Raw genomic sequence first — 23,159 nt, forward strand, 5'->3', positions numbered from 1 at the left:
CTCTCTATTCTCTTTAGTCCTCTAGTCCAGCATTTTTGAAGGCTAAGGTGGGCAGATCACTTGAGGCCACGAATTCGAGACCAGTCTAGCCTACATGGGGATTCCCCATCTCTATTAAAAATACAAAAATTAGCCGAGCATGGTGGCGCATGCCTGTAGTCCCAGCTCCTCTGGAGGCTGAGGCAGGAGGATTGCTTGAACTTGGGAGGCGGAGGCTGCAGTGAGCTGAGATCCCGTCACTGCACTCCAGCCTGGGAGACAGAGGGAGAATCCGTTAAAAAAGGAAAAAAAAAGTTTTTTTCTGTGACAGCAACACTTAGAACTAAAAAAAAAAAAAAAAGTAAGATTACTTGCTAATATAATTGACTAGTTGGCCGGCATTCGAATTTTCCCAATATTTGCACAGTGTGCCTAGTTGTCAAGCCAGGATTTAATAACCAGATTACACGTCTGCCAGGCGGACAGACACCAATCCCTATCCATCCTCGTCTCCCGCTTGGAACAGAATTTCCCGCCTCAATACTGCAATGTCTAGTGGGAAATGCAGTCTCGGCTTCCAATCACGTCACCAGCACAGGACGGTGGGAAGGGCTCTTTGCTCAAACGCCGCCCCGCCCACTCCCGCCATCTTCCGTCAGAGAATCCCGGCTCCTGCTGCAATAAGAGGCTGTTCTGGAAGCTCTGGGGTTCGGGTCTTTGTCCCTGCAGGTTGGTGGTGGGATGAAACAGGAGACAGCGGGCTTGGAGGCACCACTGGGAGGCGGGACCGACGTGCCACAGTTGGTGGGAGCAGAGGCGTGGGCACATATTGAGGGGGCGGGGCCTGACGCACAGGTGCGGGCCGCGGACCCCGGCTGGGGCTGAAAGGGCGGCGCTGCTGGGAGGGCGGGCGTGGAATCCCCGCACTGAAGCCAGTTCCAGAGGCGCCAAAGCGGCTGGGCGAAGCCGGTGGCGCGGGAAAGGGGTCTGCAGACCGCCCGAGCCTGGGAGGTCTGCGGGGAGGCTGCGCTCCGGCACTGCATGGACCTTGTGCAGCATTCCGTGCACGCCATTGTAAGATCAGCATATGGACAGTTCTAGGGAGATGCCCCTCATTCCCAGAAGAGGACTACGAAATGCGTGCACACCGTCCTACTGCCTGGCGAGTGTATTAGTAGGGTTTCCCGGTGTCTTTCAGCAAGTGAAGATTCTCCTTGTGTCCCATTCCTACTCATCCCATCCATGTTTTAGTTTATAGGAGTTTATAAAAGATCTGGTTTCTAGGGAAGTTGGGGATCCAGATGATGGTCCTGTTTTCTGTGTAATAAGGTAAGTACAAAGTTTGGAAGAGGGCGCCTTTTAGGAATCCCACCTGAAAGAACCCCTCTTTGGACAAACCTTCTCACTGGTACTTCAAAGCAGAGGAAGCGTCACAGGTGAAGATTCCAGTTTGTATGACCCAAGCAGTTATTTTCCCACTCCCCAGAGTGGCCAAGATTTGGTTGATAAGACCTTATCCAGTAGCTCTCAAACACTGGGTGGTAGCGGAAGGTTTGGACCAACATTCAGAAGGAAGAGGGGAGTTTGGCTGCGAATGCAGGCAAGGGCCAAAGAGATGTGACTTATTGGAGGGGACTTAATAGTGTGGTCTTCGGTGGAAAAATAACCTGTTACTCCTGAGAGGATCTGTCTGGAGTACTCTGTAAAGACACTTTCATTCCTTCAATCTTTTCTCATTGTTTCTAGTGGCTGAACTTTCTTAAAAGTAGTGTAGGCCAAGACGGGAGGATCACCTGAGGTTAGGAGTTTGACACCAGCCTGGCCAACATATAGTGAAACCTTGTCTCTACTAAAAAATACAGAAATTAGCTGGGCATAGTGGTGCACACCTGTATAGTCCCAGCTACTTGGGAAACTGAGGCAAGAGAATCACTTGTACTGGGCAGGTGGAGGTTGCAGTGAGCCGAGATTGTGCCACCCTACTCTAGCCTGGGCAACAGAGCGAGACTCTGTCTCTCAAAAAAAAAAAAAAAGGAAAAGAAAAAAAACTTGTCACCAAATGTAGCATCCAGTCACGAAATTTAGCATCTAGTGATATGCCAAAGCTCCCTCTATCCTGGTAGCTCTTCCTGGTAGTTCAGTAAGCGTTTGCCAAACTATTTCTACCTTATGAGAAAGATGAAAAAAATTTGGCTTTGAGGAGCTGGGACTTGCCAGGGTCACATGATATACAGATGTTATGCATCCTGACTTTTTGGCTAGTGTTACTCATTTTGCCCCAGTTAAGTCAAAACTTTTTTTTCCTTTTTTTTTTTTTTAGATTTTTGTTGACACTGAAGTCAACTAAGAACAAACATTGCTTTAAAATACTTTCTCAGCCGCTCACTGCCTGACCAAACCCTCCCACTGGAAAAAATAATAATAAAGTACTTTCCCTTGCCGGGTGCAGTGTCTCACAGCCATAATCATAGCATTTTGGGAGGCCAAGACAGGAGGATCGCTTGCACCCAGGAGTTTGAGACTAGTCTTGGCCACATAGGGAGACCCTATGTGTTTACAAAAAAAAAAAAAAAATTTAGCTGGTCGTGGTGGCATGCACCTGTGGATCTAACTACTTGGGGGGCTGAGGTGGGAAGATCACTTGAGCCCAGGAGGGCGAAGTTACAGTGAGCTATGGTTGTGCCACTGCACTCCAGCCTGGGTGACAGAATGAGACTCTGTCTCAAACCAACCAACCAAGCAGAAACATTTCCTTAACCATCTCTGTTCCTTTTTATACCCAACTCTTTCTGTGAATTATGTGACCTCAAGGACAAATGACACAAGTGTTTACCGCTCAGTGTCAGTAATCTGTTCTTGGAAATTATAAATTCTGTAGGAAAACAATAGAGTATTTTACATATTTAAAAAGGGAAGATTAGACAGTGTCTCACTTCTATTCCAACCAGTATCTTAAAACTTAAGTAAAATACAGTACAATGCTCACTTGTAAGAGATCCTTTTTTTGCATTTTTTTAAAGTCAACAGACATTTTTATGATGTAAAGAACCTTAAAACACAGTTTACTAATATGCAAAGAGTTGCTTTTTATGATTCACATGGTATCTTAGCACTAGCAGTCTCACTGATTTCCATCAAGTTGGCATTTATTGTGATTTACAAAACTTCTACATGAGGTTGTGACGTTCTAGTGATTGTATTTGACAAGTAACTTCACATTATCTCCTTCACATGATTTTCTTAAAAACATTAAGTTCTGGTGGCTTAGGTGTATCAGTTACTGTTTTCTGTGTAAAGAACCAACGAAACTCAATGGCTTAAAAAGAAGTTCTGTTGATTCACATTTTGGTGTGTGTTCACCTGGGCATTTCCTTTGCTAATGTTGTCTGGATCACAAATGAGGCTTTGGTCATCTGGTGCCTTCACTCGCATGTCTGGTGGTTCATGCTGACACTTGTTCAAGAAGGCAAGCACCAGTGGGCAAGTACTTTTCCAACCTACATTTTCATCATATTTTCTATGTCCCATTGGCCAAAGCAAGTCAAATGACAGAGCCCCATTTGTTATCAGAGCACACTCTATGAGGTCTTAGATACAGGGAGACTTGTCACTAGGAAACATTACTAAAACAGTATATCCCAAGAAATATACAATATGTACATTTTTCCCCCTATATAATTGTAGGCAAAAAATGTTGGGTTGCAAGATACATCCTTTCAATGATGCTTAGGTATATAAAAGATGCATCCTTTCAATGATGCATAGGTATAAAAGCAAGATGTGTTCTAGTGGAAACACCTATATGGAATCATGTAGAATCTCCATATTAGTAGTGAAATAGTTAATGCAGCTGAATTATATTTCTATAATATTAATTTCATTGAAGACTAAATGTATATTTCTTTGTTTTAAATTATTACATTGTTTTTTGGATAAATTAATTGTCCCTAAATCAGTAGGTAATACATGCTTTCATTAATCCCAAAATAAATTGTATGTATCTCTACTAGTTAATATACTTGTGGGTACATCTTCAGTGGGATATTTGTTGTCCCTTATTGAGGCATGAATGACTATTCTGTCACAGGGAGGTTTTTTTGTTGTTTTAGTCTTTTCCAGCTATTGTGTAGAACATTTTGGGCAGGAGAATCTAGGACCAAGCCACATCAGTTCTCTCCTTAACCCACTCCATTCGACTGTTATCACAGCTATGCTTCCAGAGTGCTCTGTGCATTTTCACGATCAGCAAACAATGAATAAATCTCTGGTGAGTCATTTGTTTATATATTCCTCACTTTGTTTTACATTGTATTTTTTGCCTTTATGGAGTCCATGGATTAAAATGAAAAGATAGAAATAAGTAAAATTCAGGTTAAAGGAAATACACATTAATAAAATAATGCTGGCATGTAGACATATGCAGGTTATAAGCTATAGAACTTGAGTACAAATGTGTCTCTGGTCTTTCCGATGCTGCAACAAAGAGGCAGTCACATTTGTTACATGATTGGAATGGAACCTGGAAAGAGTGTATGTTCCATTCTCATGGGACAGGAAGACTTGCTGTCACCAAAGTCTGGAACACTGACTGCATTGGTCACAGAGATGATGTAGTGAAAAGGTTTTTTTACTGCCAACCTGGAAGTAAACACTTTTAGCATTTTGCAGTATAAATAGTCACTTAGTGCTAAAGCATAACTCCTGTAATGAGGTTTTTCTGGTTGCTGAAACAGTGTGGTCCCAGACAGATTTTGGAAGGCCCTACTTGATTCATGGCTAAATCCTAGAACATCTGGAGGATTGAGTTGACCACAGGTCCTTAACTAACCCCCCATACATTTCTGTCAATTCATCTGTACATGGAGAATTTGTAGCAGATTGTTCACAATTGTATTCTCTGACAAATATTTCCACTGCTCACTTGCACTTTCATTCAATGTAGTCTTAATTGGTTTATTCTAATGCTACCCATTAACCCAAATTATATGCAACTCCAATGGCTATACGCTAGTCTGCCTTACTTGAATCTTGTGCCGTACAGTAATCCCCTTTATCCACAGTTTTGCTTTCTGTTGTTTCAGTTCCCTGTAGTCAACTGCAGACAGAAAAGACAATAAGATATTTTGAATATCTTGAATATTTTGATATTTTGAATATGTTGAATACAGTAGAAGAAGATATTTTGAGACACCACATTCCTATAACTTTTAGTATAGTATGTTGACCTAATTGTTCCATTTTATTGTCGGTAATATCATACTGTGCCTAATTTATAAATTAAACTGTCAAGGGTGTGTATATATAGGAAAAAACATAGTGTATATAGGGTTTGGTACTATACACAGTTTCAGGGACCCACTAGGGGACCTGGAATGTATCCCTCATGGATAAGGGGGGATTCCTGCATTTCAAATTATTGTTCATGATCTTCTCCTGGAAATTCTTCTGTGTTAGTTTCTATCATGACCTCACTGATGCTGCTTGTCTTTTTTTCCTGAATTCTTCTACTTCTCCTTTACATAGCTTATCCAGTTGTTTCATCCAATTCCCCATCCATCCCAATGTGCAGTTCTTTTTTTGTTGTTGGTTGTTTGTTTATTACCAGTTCTGCTGTCTGTGTTGTAGCAGTTGTGTTTCTCTCCAGCTTGGACTTCTCCGGCCTTTAGACCAGGGATCCCAACCCCCAGGCCATGGACTGCTCCAATGTGTGTCCTGTGAGGAACTGCGCTGCACAGCAGGAGATGAGTAGCAGGCAAGCAAGAATTACTGCCTGCACTCTGCCTCCTGTCAGATGAATGACAGCATTAAATTCTCACAGGAGCATGAACCCTATTGTGAAATATGCATGTGAGGGATCTAGGTTACCTGCTCCTTATGAGAATCTAATGTCTGATGAACAATTTCATCCCAAAACCATCCCCCCTCACACCCTGGTATATGGAAAAATTGTCTTTCACAAAACCTGGTGCCAAAAAGTTTGGGGATCACTGCTCTAGACCACAGGTTCAGCTCTCCATTGAATGATTCTTTGTAGCTATCCGAAAGGCACCTCAAGCTTAAATCCAAAATAAAATTATATCCTTCTCTTTTCCTTTACATACAGTATTAGATTAGACAGTAATTAGCTTCTACATCTCAATAAGAGGAATAGTAAGAATCTTTATCAGTCTTTAATAAACCACAGTTTTCCCTCTGGCTACAAATTGTTTACATTCCTTCCACATGCGAAATATACTTACCTGTAGAGATAAGTATTCACCCATCGAACTGACACCACAAACAGTGTGATAAACAACCTTTGCCTCCACAAATTTCTTCCCCCCTCCCTGCCCCTTTTGGGATACAACCATCTGACTTAAGATATATTCTCTGTATAAGTCCATTCTCCCATTGCTATAAAAAACTACCTCAGACTGGGTAATTTATAAAGAAAAGAGGTTTAATTTGCTCACAGTTCCACAGACTGTAGAGGAAGCATGGCTGGGGAGGCCTCATGAAACTTACAATTATGGTGTAAGATGAAGGGGAAGCAGGCACGTCCTATGTGTCTGGAGCAGGAGAAAGTGGGTGGTGAAGAGGGAGGTTCTATACACTTTTAACAACCAGATCTCGTGAGAATTTACTAACAGGAGAACAGCAAGGGGCAAGTCTGCCCCCTGATCTAGTCACCTCCCACCAGGCCCCTCCTACAGCCAGCCTTGAGGCTTACAATTTGACATGAGATTTGGGCAAGTAAACAAATCGAAACAATACCATCCTCTTAACAAATTTTTAAGTATGCAATTCCGTATTAACTACAGGCTTTGATCTGTAGATTCGATATTTAGAACTTACTCATTGCATAACTAAAACTTATACCCTGCGACCAATACCCCCCCAGTTACCCTTCCCCCTCAGCCCTTGGTAACCAAGATTCAGCTCTATGTTTGTGTAAGTTTAACTGTTTTACATTTTTATATACTTGGAGTTCCTCAGGCTGTACAGGAAGCATGGCTTCATTTGAGCTGGAACAACAGCATCCTTCAGACTTGGTAATTAATAAAGGACAGAAATTTATTCTTAACAGTTCTGGAAGCTGGGAAGTCCAGGATCAAGGCACTGTCATCTGGTACCTGATGAGAGACTTCTTCCTGCATCCTTACATGGTGGAAGACAAAAGAGTGGCAGAGAATGAATATACTCCCAGTCCATTCGAGAGGGAAGAGCCCTCACCTCATCACTTCCCTGAGGCCTCACCTTCTAATACTATCACCTTGGTGATAAGATTTCAACATAGGAATTAGAGGGGAATACATACATCCAGACTATTGCAGATGGGATTATGTAATACTTTGTTCCTGTTTGGCTTATTTCTTAGCACAATATCTTTCTGGTATGTGCATGTTTCTGCAAATGGCAAGATTTTCTTCCTTTTTAAGGCTGAGTAATAATTCATTGCATGTATAGACCACATTTTCTTTATGCATTCATTATTAGTGAGAGTTCTTATTACAAATGGCGAAGTGGTTTTTAATATTGATTTAATTTTTGTTATTAAAAACATTTTTAGATGGTTAGATTCCTTTTTAGAATAAATATACTTCATTAGTTAAGGCAGTTTTAACTTCACAGCAGAATTAAGAAGTACATAGATTTCCTATATACCCTAATGCACATATATATGTATCCTTCGCCCTTTTCAACACCTCCCCCAACCATGGTAGTACCTTTGTTAAAATAGAGGAACCTACATTGAGACATCATAGTTGTCCAAAGGCCATAGTTTACATTAGGGTTTACTCTTGTGGTTTTACATGCTATGGGTTTGAGTAAATGTATAATGACATGTATCCAGCCTTATAGTACCTCACAGAACACTTTGTTCTAAAAGTCATCCCTGCTCTTCCTGTTTATTACATATCATCCCCTTAACCCTGCAAACCATCTCCATCATTTCGCATGTTACATAGTTGCAGTTATATAGTAAGTAGCCTTTTCAGACTGCCTTCTTTTACTTAGTAATATGCTTTTAAGTTTCCTCATCTTTTGAGGACAAGATAGCCCATTTCTTTTTAGTGCTGAATTATGTTCTATTGTGTGTACCATAGTTTATCCATTCACTTACTGAAGGGCATCTTGGTTGCTTCCAAATTTTAGTTATTTTGAATAAAGCTGCTATAAATCCCTGTTCACAGGTTTTTATGATAGCATTTATTTTCACTTACTTTGGGTAACTACCAAGGGATGCAGTTGCTGGATCATATGGTGAGAATATGTTTATTTTTCTAAGAACAAATTGTCCTCCAACTGAGTGACTGTACCGCTTTGCATTTCCACAGTCTGAATGAGAGTTCCTGTTGCTGCACATTCTCAATATCAGTTGTTGTCAGTGCTCCAGATTTTGGCCATTCTACTAGGTATGTAGCGGTATCTCATTGTTTTAATATGTTACCCTAACGTTACACAATATAATGCATTCTTTTATGAGTTTATTTCCTATATGGTTCTCATAATTGGTGAGGTATCTGTTAAGGTCTTTGGTCTATTTTATTAGGTGGTTTTCTTACTGTACAGTTTTAAGAGTTTTTGGAATGTTTTGCGTAACAGTCTCTTTATCAGATGTGAGTTTAGTTTTTGGAATGTTTTGTGAAACAGTCTCTTTATCAGATGTGAGTTTTAACAGTTTTTGGAGTGCTTTGTATAACAGCCACTTTATCAGATGCGAGTTTTAAGAGTATTCGGAATGTTTTGCCTAACAGTCTCTTTATCAGATGTGAGTTTTAAGAGTTTTTGGAATGTTTTGCAAAACAGTCTCTTTATCGGATGTCAGTTTTAAGGGTTATTGGAGTGTTTTGTGTAAAGTCTCTTTATCAGATGTGAGTTTTAAGAGTTATTGAAGTGTTTTGAGTAACAGTCTCTTTATCAAATGTGAGTTTTAAGAGTTTCTGGAGTGTTGCATAACAGTCTTTCTTTTTTTTTTTAACACTGATATACATATTTTAATCTCCATCTTAGCCCAATATCAGTATGTGTCCAAATTGATCATGACTTTACTATATCATGCTTTTTACTGTCTCAGCTTGGCTATCAGTACACTCAGAGTTCTTTTTTTTAATTGAGGAATATATATTTATTAATTAATTTTTTATTATACTTTAAGTTATAGGGTACATGTGAACAATGTGCAGGTTAGTTACATATGTATACATGTGCCATGCTGGTGTGCTGCACACATTAACTCGTCATTTAGCATTAGGTATATCTCCTAATGCTATCTCTCCCCTCTCCCTGCACCCTATAACTGTCCCCAGAGTGTGATGTTCCTCTTCCTGTGTCCATGTGTAATCATTTTTCAACTCCCAACTATGAGTGAGAACATGCAGTGTTTGGTTTTTTGTCCTTGTGATAGTTTGCTGAGAATGATGGATTCCAGTTTCATCCATGTCCCTACAAAGGACATGAACTCATCATTTTTCATGGCTGCATAGTATTCCATGGTGTATATGTGCCACATTTGCTTAATCCAGTCTATCATTGTTGGACATTTGGGTTGGTTCCAAGTCTTTGCTATTATGAATAGAGCCGCAATAAACATACGTGTTCATGTGTCTTTATAGCAGCATGATTTATAGTCATTTGGGTATATACCCAATAATGGGATGGCTGGGTCAAATGGTAGTTCTAGTTCTAGATCCCTGAGGAATCACCACACTGACTTCCACAATGGTTGAACTAGTTTACAGTCCCACAAACAGTGTAAAAGTGTTCCTATTTCTCCACATCCTCTCCAACACCTGTTGCCTCCTGACTTTTTAATGATCACCATTCTAACTGGTGTGAGATGGTATCTCATTGTGGTTTTGATTTGCATTTCTCTGATGGGCAGTGATGGTGAGAATTTTTTCATGTGTTTTCTGGCTGTATAAATGTCTTCTTTTGAGAAGTGTCTGTTCATGTCCTTCACCCACTTTTTGATGGGATTGTTTGTTTTTTTCTTGTAAATTTGTTTGAGTTCATTGTAGATTCTGGATATTAGCCCTTTGTCAGATGAGTAAGTTGCAAAACTTTTCTCCCATTCTGTAGGTTGCCTGTTCACTCTGATGGTAGTTTCTTTTCTGTGCAGAAGCTCTTTAATTAGATCCCATTTGTCAATTTGGCTTTGGTTGCCATTGCTTTTGGTGTTTTAGACATGAAGTCCTTGCACATGCCTATGTCCTGAATGGTATTGCCTAGGTTTTCTTCTAGGGTTTTTATGGTTTTAGGTCTAATGTTTAAGTCTTTAAACCTTCTTGAATTAATTTTTGTATAAGGTGTAAGGAAGGGATCCAGCTTTAGCTTTCTACAAATGGCTAGCCTGTTTTCCCAGCACCATTTATTAAATAGGGAATCCTTTCCCCATTGCTTGTTTTTCTCAGGTTTGTCAAAGATCAGATAGTTGTAGATATGTGGCATTATTTCTGAGGGCTCTGTTTTGTTCCATTGGTCTATATCTCTGTTTTGGTACCAGTACCGTGCTGTTTTGGTTACTGGTTACTGTAGCCTTGTAGTATTGTTTGAAGTCAGGTAGTGTGATGCCTCCAGCTTTGTTCTTTTGACTTAAGATTGACGTGGCGATACGGGCTCTTTTTTGGTTCCATATGAACTTTAAAGTAGTTTTTCCAATTCTGTGAGGAAAGTCATTGGTAGCTTGATGGGGATGGCATTGAATCTATAAATTACCTTGGGCATTATGACCATTTTTACGATATTGATTCTTCCTACCCATGAGCATGGAATGTTCTTCCATTTGTTTGTATCCTCTTTTATTTCCTTGAGCAGTGGTTTGTAGTTCACCTTGAAGAGGTCCTTCACGTCCCTTGTAGGTTGGATTCCTGGGTATTTTATTCTCTTTGAAGCAATTGTGAATGGGAGTTCACTTATGATTTGGCTCTCTGTTTGTCTATTATTGGTGTATAAAAATGCTTGTGATTTTTGTACATTGATTTTGTATCCTGAGACTTTGCTGAAGTTGCTTATCAGCTGAAGGAGATTTTGGGCTGAGACAATGGGGTTTTCTAGATACACAATCATGTCATCTGCAAACAGGGACAATTTGACTTCCTCTTTTCCTAATTGAATACCCTTTATTTCCTTCTCCTGCCTAATTGCCCTGGCCAGAACTTCCAACACTATGTTGAATAGGAGTGGTGAGAGAGGGCATCCCTGTCTTGTGTCAGTTTTCAAAGGGAATGCTTCCAGTTTTTGACCATTCAGTATGATATTGGCTGTGGGTTTGTCATAGATAGCTCTTATTATTTTGAAATACGTCCCATCAATACCTAATTTATTGAGAGTTTTTAGCATGAAGGGTTGTTGAATTTTGTCAAAGGCCTTTTCTGTATCTATTGAGATAATCATGTGGTTTTTGTCTTTGGTTCTGTTTATATGCTGGACTACATTTATTGATTTGTGTATATTGAACCAGCCTTGCATCCCAGGGATGAAGCCCACTTGATCATGGTGGACAAGCTTTTTGATGTGCTGCTGTATTCAGTTTGCCAGTATTTTATTGAGGGTTTTTGCATCAATGTTCATCAAGGATATTGGTCTAAAATTCTCTTTTTTGGTTGTGTCTCTGCCTGGCTTTGGTATCAGGATGATGCTGGCCTCATAAAATGAGTTAGGGAGGATTTCCTCTTTTTCTATTGATTGGAATAGTTTCAGAAGGAACGGTACCAGTTCCTCCTTGTACCTCTGGCAGAATTCGTCTGTGAATCCATCTGGTCCTGGACTCCTTTTGGTTGGTAAGCTATTGATTATTGCCACAATTTCAGAACCTGTTATTGGTCTATTCAGAGATTCAAGTTATTCCTGGTTTAGTCTTGGTAGAGTGTATGTATATAGGAATTTATCCATTTCTTCTAGATTTTCTAGTTTATTTGTGTAGAGGTGTTGGTAGTATTATCTGATGGTAGTTTGTATTTCTGTGGGATCGGTGGTGATATCCCCTTTATCATTTTTTATTGCATCTATTTGATTCTTCTCTCTTTTCTTCTGTATTAGTCTTGCTAGTGGTCTATCAATTTTGTTGATCCTTTCAAAAAAACAGCTCCTGGATCCATTAATTTTTTGAAGGGTGTCTCTATTTCCTTCAGTTCTGCTCTGATTTTAGTTATTTCTTGCCTTCTGCTAGCTTTTGAATGTGTTTGCTCTTGCTTTTCTAGTTCTTTTAATTGTGATGTTAGGGTGTCAATTTTGGATCTTTTCTGCTTTCTCTTGTGGGCAGTTAGTGCTATAAATTTCCCTCTACACACTGCTTTAAATGTGTCCCTGAGATTCTGGTGTTTTTTGTCTTTGTTCTCACTGGTTTCCAAGAACATCTTTATTGTTACCTTTATTTCATTATTTACCCAGTAGTCATTCATGAGCAGTTTGTTCAGTTTCCACGAACTTATGCTGTTTTGAGTGAGTTTCTTAATCCTGAGTCCTAATTTGATTGCTCTGTGATCTGAGAGACAGTTTGTTGTGATATCTGTTCTTTTACATTTGCTGAGGAGTGCTTACTTCCAATTATGTGATCCATTTTAGAATAAGTGTGATGTGGTACTGAGAAGAATGTTTATTCTGCTGATATGGGGTGGAGAGTTCTGTAGATTTCTGTTAGGTCTGCTTGGTGCAGAGCTGAGCTGAAGTCCTGGATATCCTTGTTAACCTTCTGTCTTGTTGATTTGTCTAATATTGACAGTAGGGTGTTAAAATCTCCCATGATTATTTTGTGGAAGTCTAAGTCTGTTTGTAGGTATCTAAGGACTTAATTTATGAATCCGGGTCCTCCTGTGTTGGGTGCATATATATTTACAGTAGTTAGCTCTTCTTGCTGAATTAATCCTTTTGCCATTGTATAATGGCCTTCTTAGTGTCCTTTGATCTTTGTTTGTTTAAAGTCTGTTTTATCAGAGACTAGGATTGCAACCCCTGCTTTAAAAATTTTTTTTTTTTTGCTTTCCATTTGCTTGGTAGATCTTCCTCATCCCTTTATTTTGAGCCTATGTGTGTCTCTGCACGTGAGATGTGTCTTCTGAATACAGCACATTGATGGGTCTTGACTCTTTATCCAATTTGCCAGTCTATGTCTTTTAATTGGGGCATTTAGTCCATTTACATTTAAGATCAATATTGTTATGTGTGAATTTGATCCTGTCATTATAATGTTAGCTTGATCTTTTGCCCATTTTTTGATGCAGCTTCTTCATAGTATCAATGTTCTTTACAATTTGACATGTTTTTTGCAGGGGCTTGTACTGGTAGTTCCTTTCCATTCTTAGTGCTTCCTTCAGGAGCTCTTGTAAGGCAGGCCAGGTGGTGACAAAATCTCTCTGCATTTGCTTGTCTGTAAAGGATTTTATTTCTCCTTCACTTATGAAGCTTAGTTTAGCTGGATATGAAATTTTGGGCTGAAAATTCTTTTCTTTAAGAATGTTGAATATTGGTCCCCACTTTCTTCTGGCTTGCAGGGTTTCTGCTGACAGATCTGCTGTTAGTCTGATGGGCTTCCCTTTGTGGATAACCCAACCTTTCTCTCTGGCTGCCCTTAACATTTTTTCCTTCATTTCAACCCTGGTGAATCTGACAATTAGTGTCTTGGGGTTGCTCTTATCTAGAAGTATCTTTGTGGTATTCTCTGTATTTCCTGAATTTGAATGTTGGCCTGCCTTGCTATGTTGGAAAAGTTCTTCTGAATAATAACCTAAGGAGTGTTTTCCAACTTGGTTCCAATCTCTCCATCACATTTAGGTACACCAAGCAAATGTAGATTTGGTCTTTTCACATTGTTCCATTTTTCATGGAGGCTTTGTTTGTTTCTTTCCAATCTTTTTACTCTAAACTTACCTTCTCACTGTATTTTATTAATTTGATCTTCAATCACTGATATGCTTTCTTCCACTGGATTGAATCAGCTTTTGAAGGTTGTGCATGTGCCACAAAGTTCTTGTGCCATATCAGCTCCATAATGTCATTAATGTATTCTCTACACTGTTTATACTAGTTAGCCATTGTCTGACCATTTTTCATGGTTTTTAGCTTCCTTGCAGTGTGTTCAAACACGCTCTTTTAGCTCAGAGAAGTTTCTTATTAGCAACCTTCTGAAGCCTCCTTCTGTCAACAGGTCAAAGTCATTCTCCCTTCAGCTTTGTTCTGTTGCTGGTGAGGAGCTGCAATCCTTTGAAGGAAAAGAAGTGTTCTGGGTTTTAGGATTTTCATCTTTTCTGCTCTGGATTCTTCCCATCTTTGTGGTTTTCTCTACCTTTGGTCTTTGATGTTGTTAACCTAGAGATGGGGTTTTGGTGTGGATGTCCTTTTTTTTTATGTTGATGCTATTCCTTTCTGTTTGTTAGTTTTCCTACTAACAGTCAGATCCCTCAGCTGCAGGTCTGTTGGATTTTGCTGGAGGTCCACTCCAGGCCTTGTTTGCCTGGGTATCACCAGAAGAGGCTGAAGAACAGCAAATATTGCTTCCTGATCCTTCCCTGGAAGCTTCATTGAAGAGGGGCTCCCACCTGTATGAGGTGTCTGTTGGCCCTTACTAGGAGTTGTCTCCCAGTTAGGCTACATGGGGTTCAGGGACCCACTTGAGGAGGCAGTATGTCCATTCTCAGAGCTCAAACACCATGCCGGGAGTACCACGGCTCTCTTCAGAGCTGTCAGATGGGATGTTTAAGTCCGCAGAAGTTTCTGCTACCTTTTACTCAGCTATGCCCTGCCCACAGAGTTTGAGTTTATTAAGGCAGTAGGCCTTGCTGAGCTGTGAGTGGCTCTACCCAGTTCAAGCTTCCTGACCACTTTATTTACCTACTCAAACCTCAAAAATTGCAGATTCACCTCCCCCTGCCCAGCTGCTGCCTTGAAGGTTAATCTCAGACTGCTTCCCTAGCAGTGAACAAGGCTCTCTGGGTGTGGGACTCAATGAACCCAGCACAGGAGAGAATCTCCTGGTCTGCCAGGTGCTAAGACTGTGGGAAAAGTGCAGCATTTGGGTGAGAGTGTCCTGTTTTTCCAGGTACAGTCTGTCATGCCTTCCCTCAGCTAGGAAAGGAAAATCCCTCAAACCCTTGCACTTCCTTGATGAGTTGATGCCCTGTCCTGCTTCGGCTAACCCTCCATGTGATGAACCCACTGTCCAACCAATCCCGATGAGATGAATCAGGTACCTCAGTTGGAAATGCAGAAATCAACCATTTTCTGCTTGATTACACTGGGAGCAAAATCGAATGCCATTAGGTATGCTTGCAGCAGCCAAAGGAGGGGTTTGAACCTTGCTGCATACTGAATGTTGTGTGTGTATACCTGACAGTTCTCACAATATTACTTTCCTTGCCCAAGACATGCAAGGACAACTAAAACAGTTAGAATCTGTCAGGACCCCATCATGAATTGGCTGTCCAACTGACATTGGCGTTGGCCTTGGTGGGTGTGATTTTATTTAATTGTGCTTTAATTCTCCTCTGCTTACCCTGCTTCTTTAACCTCTACCAATGATGTATTCCCCGTATATCTGCAAGGGTGTTTTCCTACAATTGAGTATCAAGTGGGACCGAATACAGAGAAAAAGTTAAATAATATATTTCAACTCAATTGAACATGGACACAATGGTCACCAAGTCCCAGAATAGGTTTTGTGAGCCCCTTGAGGCATTCATCCAGCACTGTTTCAGAGAAATCTCTATTTCAATCTATTCCTATACGTTAGTTATTGAAAAACAACAGACAATGGCAAAAACAAATTGACCTTTTTGTGTTCCTTTGTGCATGGACGAATGGCTGACTCTGGAGCCCAGGCTGTTGCTTCTCGGTCTGGTGATCAATCTTCCATAGTCTATCTATATATATATATACATATACATATGTATACACATTTTTTTCCTTCTCCCCTTTCCCATTGTAATTTGCTTGTTGTATCAATTTGCTTATTTTATCATCATTTGCTTATTATATCTGCATTGCCATTTATGTGGGATAGAGTTTGTTGACCTTTAAAGTTTTGTGTGTGTGTGTTTTCTCCTCCCCTGGAGCATCTCCTGCACATAACACCTCTCTTCCTGTCATAGCCAGAAATTCAGTTTTTAAGTTTTTTTCTGGGGTCTTCTTGCTCAAGAGGAAGTATGTTCAGTGATACGTGGCTTAGAATTTTATTTTTAGCTTTTATTACATTCTAAACCCCCAGCAGAAAGAAGTCTTAACAAACACAGATTTTAATTTATGAACATTCTTCTAATAAGTTTTGTATGGTAGCGGAACAACTAAAAAAACTGTTTTTTGCATTGATGACCTACCTCATTACAATTTAACCTCTAAAGGTTGTTTTAGCCAGCTCTACAGGCTGCTATGGTTAAGGTGAATTTACTGCTTCTTCCCACAATAGAGAATGGTATTTTAAAATAGCATAACTTCTATGGAATATATTTTTAAAGCATGACCACAATTTGAATAATTAGAATATTTAAAAATTCCGAAGATTGTTATACCAACGCTGCACTAAAATTTATCCTTCCATTGATGACAGGGAATTTTTAATAGTTATTTTTATAATAAATTAAATTTTAATAAAATAACTGACTTTCAAACTTTAGCAAGAGGACACATATTCAGACAGAGATATCAGTTCCCCCTTAGAAAAAAATATTCACTTCTCATTAAAATCTCTCTGTATCTTACTGATTTCAGATAGAAGTTAAATTTCACCTTAATAACAGAAACAAAAGAACTAGTTAAACTGACAAAAACTAATAAACGTATGCCCAAATTTACTGGCAGAATCATGAGTACACCATATAATAGTAACATTCTACCAGTTTTAAGTAAAATAAATGAGGAAATAATCTTGACTGTACAACCTACCAGGAGGGGCGTGTCCCTGCTCCCAGATGAGTGGGAACGCTGCACTCTGGGGTGGTTGCGCCTCAGCTTCTGGCAACTCTTGTTGGCAGCATTGCCATTGCAGGGACAAGGCAGGCGTTGGGGGGGCGGGCAGTGGGCCAGGCCCAGGCACGTCCTTTGCCAGAGACTGGGCAGGTGCGGAGAGGGGCGAAGCAGTGCTGCCCTGGTCGAGGGAGCCTCCCGCTCTGGACGGTTCGCCAAACCTGCCCCAGGAGGTTGCTGCAGGAGCTGGGTGGGGAAGGGGAGGGATGAGGGGATGCAGGCCAGATCAGGTGGCCCCTTAGCCCTGGGTGATGCAAGAGGGGCTGTGGGAGACCAGAGAAGACCCGGAGCAGAAACTGGGAACTGATATCTCTGGCTGAATATTTGTCCTCTTGCTGAAGTTTGAAAGTCAGTTATTTCATTACAGTTCAATTTTATTACAAAAATAACAACTATTAAAAATTCCCTGTAGTCACTGGAATGATAAATTTTGGTGCAGTTTTAGCATAACAATCTTTGGAGTTTTTAGATATTCTAATTATTGAAATTGCAGCCATGTTTCAAAATACATGCCATATATTTTTATGGCATCCACCCCTGGGTCCCTGTGTCCCGCATCCGCCTCTGTGTACCTGCTGGCTCAGGAAACGAGCTTCTTCCTACTTCCACAGACTCCAATCAGGCTGCCCTTCCTCCTGGTACTTGAGGCACACGTGGGGATAGCCTGCCAGTGAATAGCCCGAGAATGCCCGGCCTGTGCCGTGTGCTCAGAGTGGGGTCCTGGCTGGTGCCCCTCAGAGCCCCTCACAAAGCAGGGCTAGGTGTGGAGGGACCTAGCACCAGGCAGCGGTGAGCGGATGGATGCTCCAGGGATGTGGGGCTGCTGACAGTCAAGAACCCTTTGCCAAATTCAATGGCATAATGTAGGATATTTTTTCCCTTATATTTTTGTGTAGGAGTTTTACAACTTTCAGCCTTACATTTGTATTTTCTTAACATAGGATTCCAGAACAATGCTACGAGGGTCTGAATGCCTGTCCCACACATAGGATTCTAGAACACCCCAGCTGTCGTCTGAATGATTGCCCCCCACATATGATTCCAGAACACTGCTGCTGCGGTCTGAATGATTGTACCTCACACAGGATTCCAGAACACTCCTCCTCTAGTCTGAATGTTTGTCCCTCAGATAATATTCCGGAACACTGCTGCTGGGTTCTGAGTGTTTGTCCCTCACATAGGATTCCAGAACACTGCTAAGAGGGTCTGAATGTTTGTCCTTCACATGAGATTGCAGAACACTGCTAAGAGGGTACGATTGTTTCTACCTCACATAAGATTCCAGAACACTTCTACGAGGGTCTGAATCTTTGTCCCATACATAGGACTCCAGAACACTCCTGCTGTGTTCTGAATGTGTTTTCCTAACATAGGATTCCAGAACAATGCTACGAGGGTCTGAATGCTTCTCCCACAAGTAGGATTCCAGAACACCCCAGCTGCAGTCTGAATGATTGTCCCTCACATAGGATTCCAGAACACTGCTGCTGGGTTCTGAGTGTTTCTCCCTCACATAGGATTCCAGAACACTGGTACAAGGGTCTGAATGATTGTACCTCACATAGGATTCCAGAACACTCCTGCTCTGGTCTGAATTTTTGTCCCTCAGATAGGATTCCAGAACACTACTACTGGGTTCTGAGTGTTTGTCTCCCACGTAGGATTCCACAACACTGCTACGAGGGTCTGAATGTTTGTCCCACACATAGGACTCCAGAACACTCCTGCTCTGGTCTGAATGTTTGTCCCTCAGATAGGATTCCAGAACACAGCTTCTGGGTTCTGAGTATTTGTCCCTCACATAGGATTCCAGAACACTGCTACTGGGTTCTGAGTGTTTCTCCCTCACATAGGATTCCACAACACTGCTAAGAGTTTCTGAATGTTTGTCTCATACATAGGATTCCAGAACACTGCTACGTGGGTCTAAATGTTTGTCCCTCACATAGGATTCCAGAACACTACTGATGTGGTCTGAATGCTTGACCCTCACATAGGATTCCAGAATATTCCTGTTGTCTTCTGGGTGTTTGTGACTCACAAGGGTTTCCAGATCTATCCTGCTGTGTTCTGAATGTTTCCCCCTCAGATAGGATTCCAAAACATTCCTTCTGTGGTCTGAGTGTTTGTCTCTCAAATAGGATTCCAAAACACTGCTACTGGGGTCTGAATGTTTGTGCCTCAAATAGGATTCCAGAACACTGCTACGAGGGTCTGAATTATTCTCCCTCACATAGCATTCCAGAACACTCCTGCTGTGGTCTGAATGTTTATGCCTCACTCAGGATTCCAGAACATTCCTGCTGTGGTCTGAATGGTTGTCCCTCACTTAGGATTCCAGAACACTGCTGTTGGGTTCTGAGTGTTTGTCCCGCACATAAGATTCCAGAACACTGCTACTTGGGTGTCAATGTTTGTCCCTCAGATAGGATTCCAGAACACTGCTGATGGGGTCTGAATGCTTGTCCCTCACATTGGATTCCAGAACACTCCTGCTGTGGTCTGAATGTTTGAACATCACATAGGATTACAGAACACTGCTGTGGGTTTCTGAGTATTTGTCCCTCTCATAGGATTCCGGAACACTGCTACGAGAGTCTGAATATTTGTCCCACACATAGGACTCCAGAACACTCCCGCTGTGTTCTGAATGTATTTTCCTAAAATAGGATTCCAGAACAATGCTACGAGAGTCTGAATGCGTTTCCAACCCGTAGGATTCAAGAAGACCCCAGTTGTGGTCTCAATGATTGTCCCTCACATAGGATTCCAGAACACTGCTGCTGGGTTCTGAGTGTTTTTCCCTCACATAGGATTCCAGACCACTGCTACGAGGGTCTGAATTATTCTCCCTCACATAGGATTCCAGAACACTCCTGCTGTGGTCTGAATGTTTGCCCCTCACTTAGGATTCCAGAACACTGCTGCGGGGTTCTGAGTGTTTGTCCCTCACATAGGATTCCAGAACACTGTTACGAGGTTCTGAAAGTTTGTCCCTCACGTAGGATTCCATTACACTAGTGCTGTGGTCTGAATGGTTGACACTCACATAGGATTCCAGAACATTCCTGCTGTATTCTGAATGGTTGACCCTCACATAGGATTCCAGTACATTCCTGCTGTGGTCTGGGTGTTTTTGCCTCACATGGGATTTCATAACAATCCTGCTGTGGTCTGACTGTTTGTCCCTCACATAGGATTCCAAAACATTCCTGCTGTTTTCTGAGTGTTTGTACCACAAATAGGATTCCAGAATACTGCTACTGGTGTCTGAAAGTTTGTCCCTCACATTGGATTACAGAACACTGCTAACAGCGTCTGATTTATTCTCCCTCATATAGGATTCCAGAACACTCCTGCTGTGGTCTGAATGTTTGTCCCACTCTTAGGATTCCAGAACACTGCTGTTGGAGTCTGAGTGTTTGTCCCTCATGTACGATTCCAGAACACTGCTACGTGGGTCTAAATGATTTTCCCTCACATCAGATTCCAGAACACTGCTACGAGGCTCTGAATGTTTGTCCCACACATAGGACTCCAGAACACTCCTGCTTTGTTCTGAAGGTATTTTCCTCACATAGGATTCCAGAACAATGCTACAAGGGTCTGAATGTTTGTTCCACACGTGGGATTCCAGAACACCTCAGTGGTTTTCTGAATGATTGTCCCACACATAGGATTCCAGAACAAAGCTGCTGGGTTCTGAGTGTTTGTCCTTCAAATATGTTTCCAGAACACTCCTGCTCTGGTCAGAATGTTTGTCACTCACTGAAGATTCCAGATCCCTGTTCTTGGGTACTGAGTGTTTCCCCCCCATACGATTCCAGAACATTGCTACGTGGGTCTAAATGTTGGTCCCTCCCATAGAATTCCAGAACACTGCTACGAGGTTCTGAATGCTTGTCCCGCACATAGGACTCCAGAACACTCCTACTGTGTTCTGAATGTTCTTCCTCACATAGGATTCCAGAACAATGCTACGAGGTTCTGAATATTTGTCCCACACCTAGGGATCCAAAACACCCCAACTGGGGTCTGAATGACTGTCCCTCACATAGGACTCCAGAACACTGCTGCTGTGTTCTGAATGTTCTTCCTCACATAGTATTCCATAACATTGCTATGAGGGTCTGAATGTTTGTCTCACACATAGGGACCCAGAACATCCCAGATGTGGTGTGAATGATTGTCCCTCACATAGGATTCCAGAACGCAGCTGCTGGGTTCTGAGTGTTTCTCCTTTACGTAGGATTCCAAAACATTGCTACTGGGATCTGAATTTTTCTCCCTCACATAGGATTCCAGAACTCTGCTATGAGGATCTTAATTATTCTCCCTCACATAGGATTCCAGAACACTCCTGTTGTGGTCTGAATGTTTGTCCCTCACTTAAGCTTCCAGAACACTGCTGTCGGGTTCTGTGTGTTTGACCCTCACGTACGATTCCAAAACACTGCTACGTGTGTCTAAATGTTTTTCCCTCACATAAGATTCCAGAACACTGCTATGAGGGTCTGTATGTTTGTCCCGCACGTAGGTCCGCAGAACACTACTGCTGTGTTCTGAAGGGTTTTTCCTCACATAGGATTCCAGAACAATGCTACAATGGTATAAATGATTGTCCCTCACAGAGGATTCCAGCACACTTCTTCTGGGTTCTGAATGTTTCTCCCTCACATAGGATTACAGAACACTCCTTCTATGATCTGAATGTTTGTCCCTCACTTAGGAATGCAGAACACTGCTGTTGGGTTCTGACTGTTTGTCCTTCACGTACGGTTACAGAACACTGATACATGGGTGTAAATGTTTGTCCCTCACATAGGAGTCTAGAACACTGCTACAAGGGACTGAATGTTTGTCTCGCACATAGGACTCTGGAACACACCTAGTGTGTTCTGAAAGTATTTTCCTCACATAGGATTCCACAGCAATGCTACGTGAGTCTGAATCTTTGTCCCAAACCTAGGACTCCAGAACAACTCAGCTGTGGTCTGAATGATTGTCCCTCACATAGGATTCCAGAACACTGCTGCTGGGTTGTGAGTGTTTCTCCCTCACATGGTATTCCAGAACACTGCTACTGTGGTCTGAAAGTTTTTCCCTCACATAGGATTGCAGAACACTGCTACGAGGGTCTGAATTATTCTCCCTCACATAGGATTCCAGAAGATTCCTTCGTGGTCTGTATGTTTGTCCCTCAATTAGGATTCCAGGACACTGCTGTAGGGTTCCAAGTGTTTGTCTCTCACTTGCGGTTCCAGAACACTGCTCCCTGGGTCTAAAAGTTTGTTCCTCACATAGGATTGCAGAACAGTGCTACAAGGGTCCGGGTCTGAATGTTTGCCCCACACATAGGATTCCAGAATGCCTCAACTGTGGTATGAATGATTGTCCCTCATATAGGATTCCACAATACTACTACTGGGTTATGAGTGTTTCTCCCTCACATGGCATTCCAGAACACTGCTACGAGGGACTGAATGTTTGTCCCGCACATAGGACTCCACAACACTCCTGTTGTGTTCTGAATGTATTTTCCTCAAAGAGGATTCCAGAAAAATGCTACGCGGGTCTGCATGTTTGTCCCACACGTAGGACTCCAGAACACCCCGGCTGTAGTCTGAATGATTGTCCCTCACATAGGATTGCAGAACACTGCTTCTGGGTTGAGCATTTCTCCCTCACATAGGATTCCAGAACACTGCTACGAGGGTCTGTATTATTCTCCCTCACAATGGATTCCAGAATATTCCTTCTGTGATCTGTGTGTTTTTCCCTCAATTAGCATTCCAGGACACCGCTGCTGGGTTCTGAGTGTTTCTCCCTCACATAGGATTGCAGAACCCTGCTACTGACATCTGAATATTTGTCCCTCACAAAGGATTCCAGAACACTGCTGCAATGGTCTGAATTATTCTCCCTCACATAGGACTCCAGGACACTCCTACTGTGGTCTGAATGTTTTTCCCTCACTTAGGACTCCAAAACACTGCTGTTGGGTTCTGAGTGTTTGTCCCTCATGTACGATTCCAGAACACTGCTACGTGCTTCTAAATGTTTGTCCCTCACATAGGATTCCAGAACACTACCATGAGAGTATGAGTGTTTGTCATGCACATAGGACTCCAGAACACTCCTTCTGTGTTCTGAATGTTCTTCCTCACATAGGATTCTGGAACAATGATACGAGGGTCTGAATGTTTGTCCCACACGTAGGATTCCAGAACACCCCAGCTGTGTTC

General features: G+C 41.7%; 1 long non-coding RNA gene across 3 annotated transcripts; it reads left to right on the forward strand.

Annotated features, from left to right (window-relative positions):
• The first annotated feature begins 600 nt into the window (after positions 1-600).
• On the forward strand, positions 601-20,124 carry LOC124900598 (uncharacterized). Of its 3 annotated transcripts, XR_008485587.1 has the most exons (4): positions 611-708; positions 4,089-4,246; positions 8,298-8,375; positions 17,856-20,124. It is a non-coding gene; the product is annotated as an uncharacterized LOC124900598 (long non-coding RNA). The 3 variants fall into 3 exon arrangements; XR_008485588.1 differs by lacking the exon at positions 17,856-20,124 and having other exon boundaries at positions 601-708; positions 4,188-4,246; positions 7,046-8,375; XR_008485586.1 differs by lacking the exon at positions 17,856-20,124 and having other exon boundaries at positions 7,046-8,375.
• The last annotated feature ends 3,035 nt before the right edge of the window (positions 20,125-23,159 follow it).

Source organism: Homo sapiens, unplaced genomic scaffold, assembly GCF_000001405.40.
Source record: "Homo sapiens unplaced genomic scaffold, GRCh38.p14 Primary Assembly HSCHRUN_RANDOM_CTG17".
NCBI lineage: Eukaryota > Metazoa > Chordata > Mammalia > Primates > Hominidae > Homo > Homo sapiens.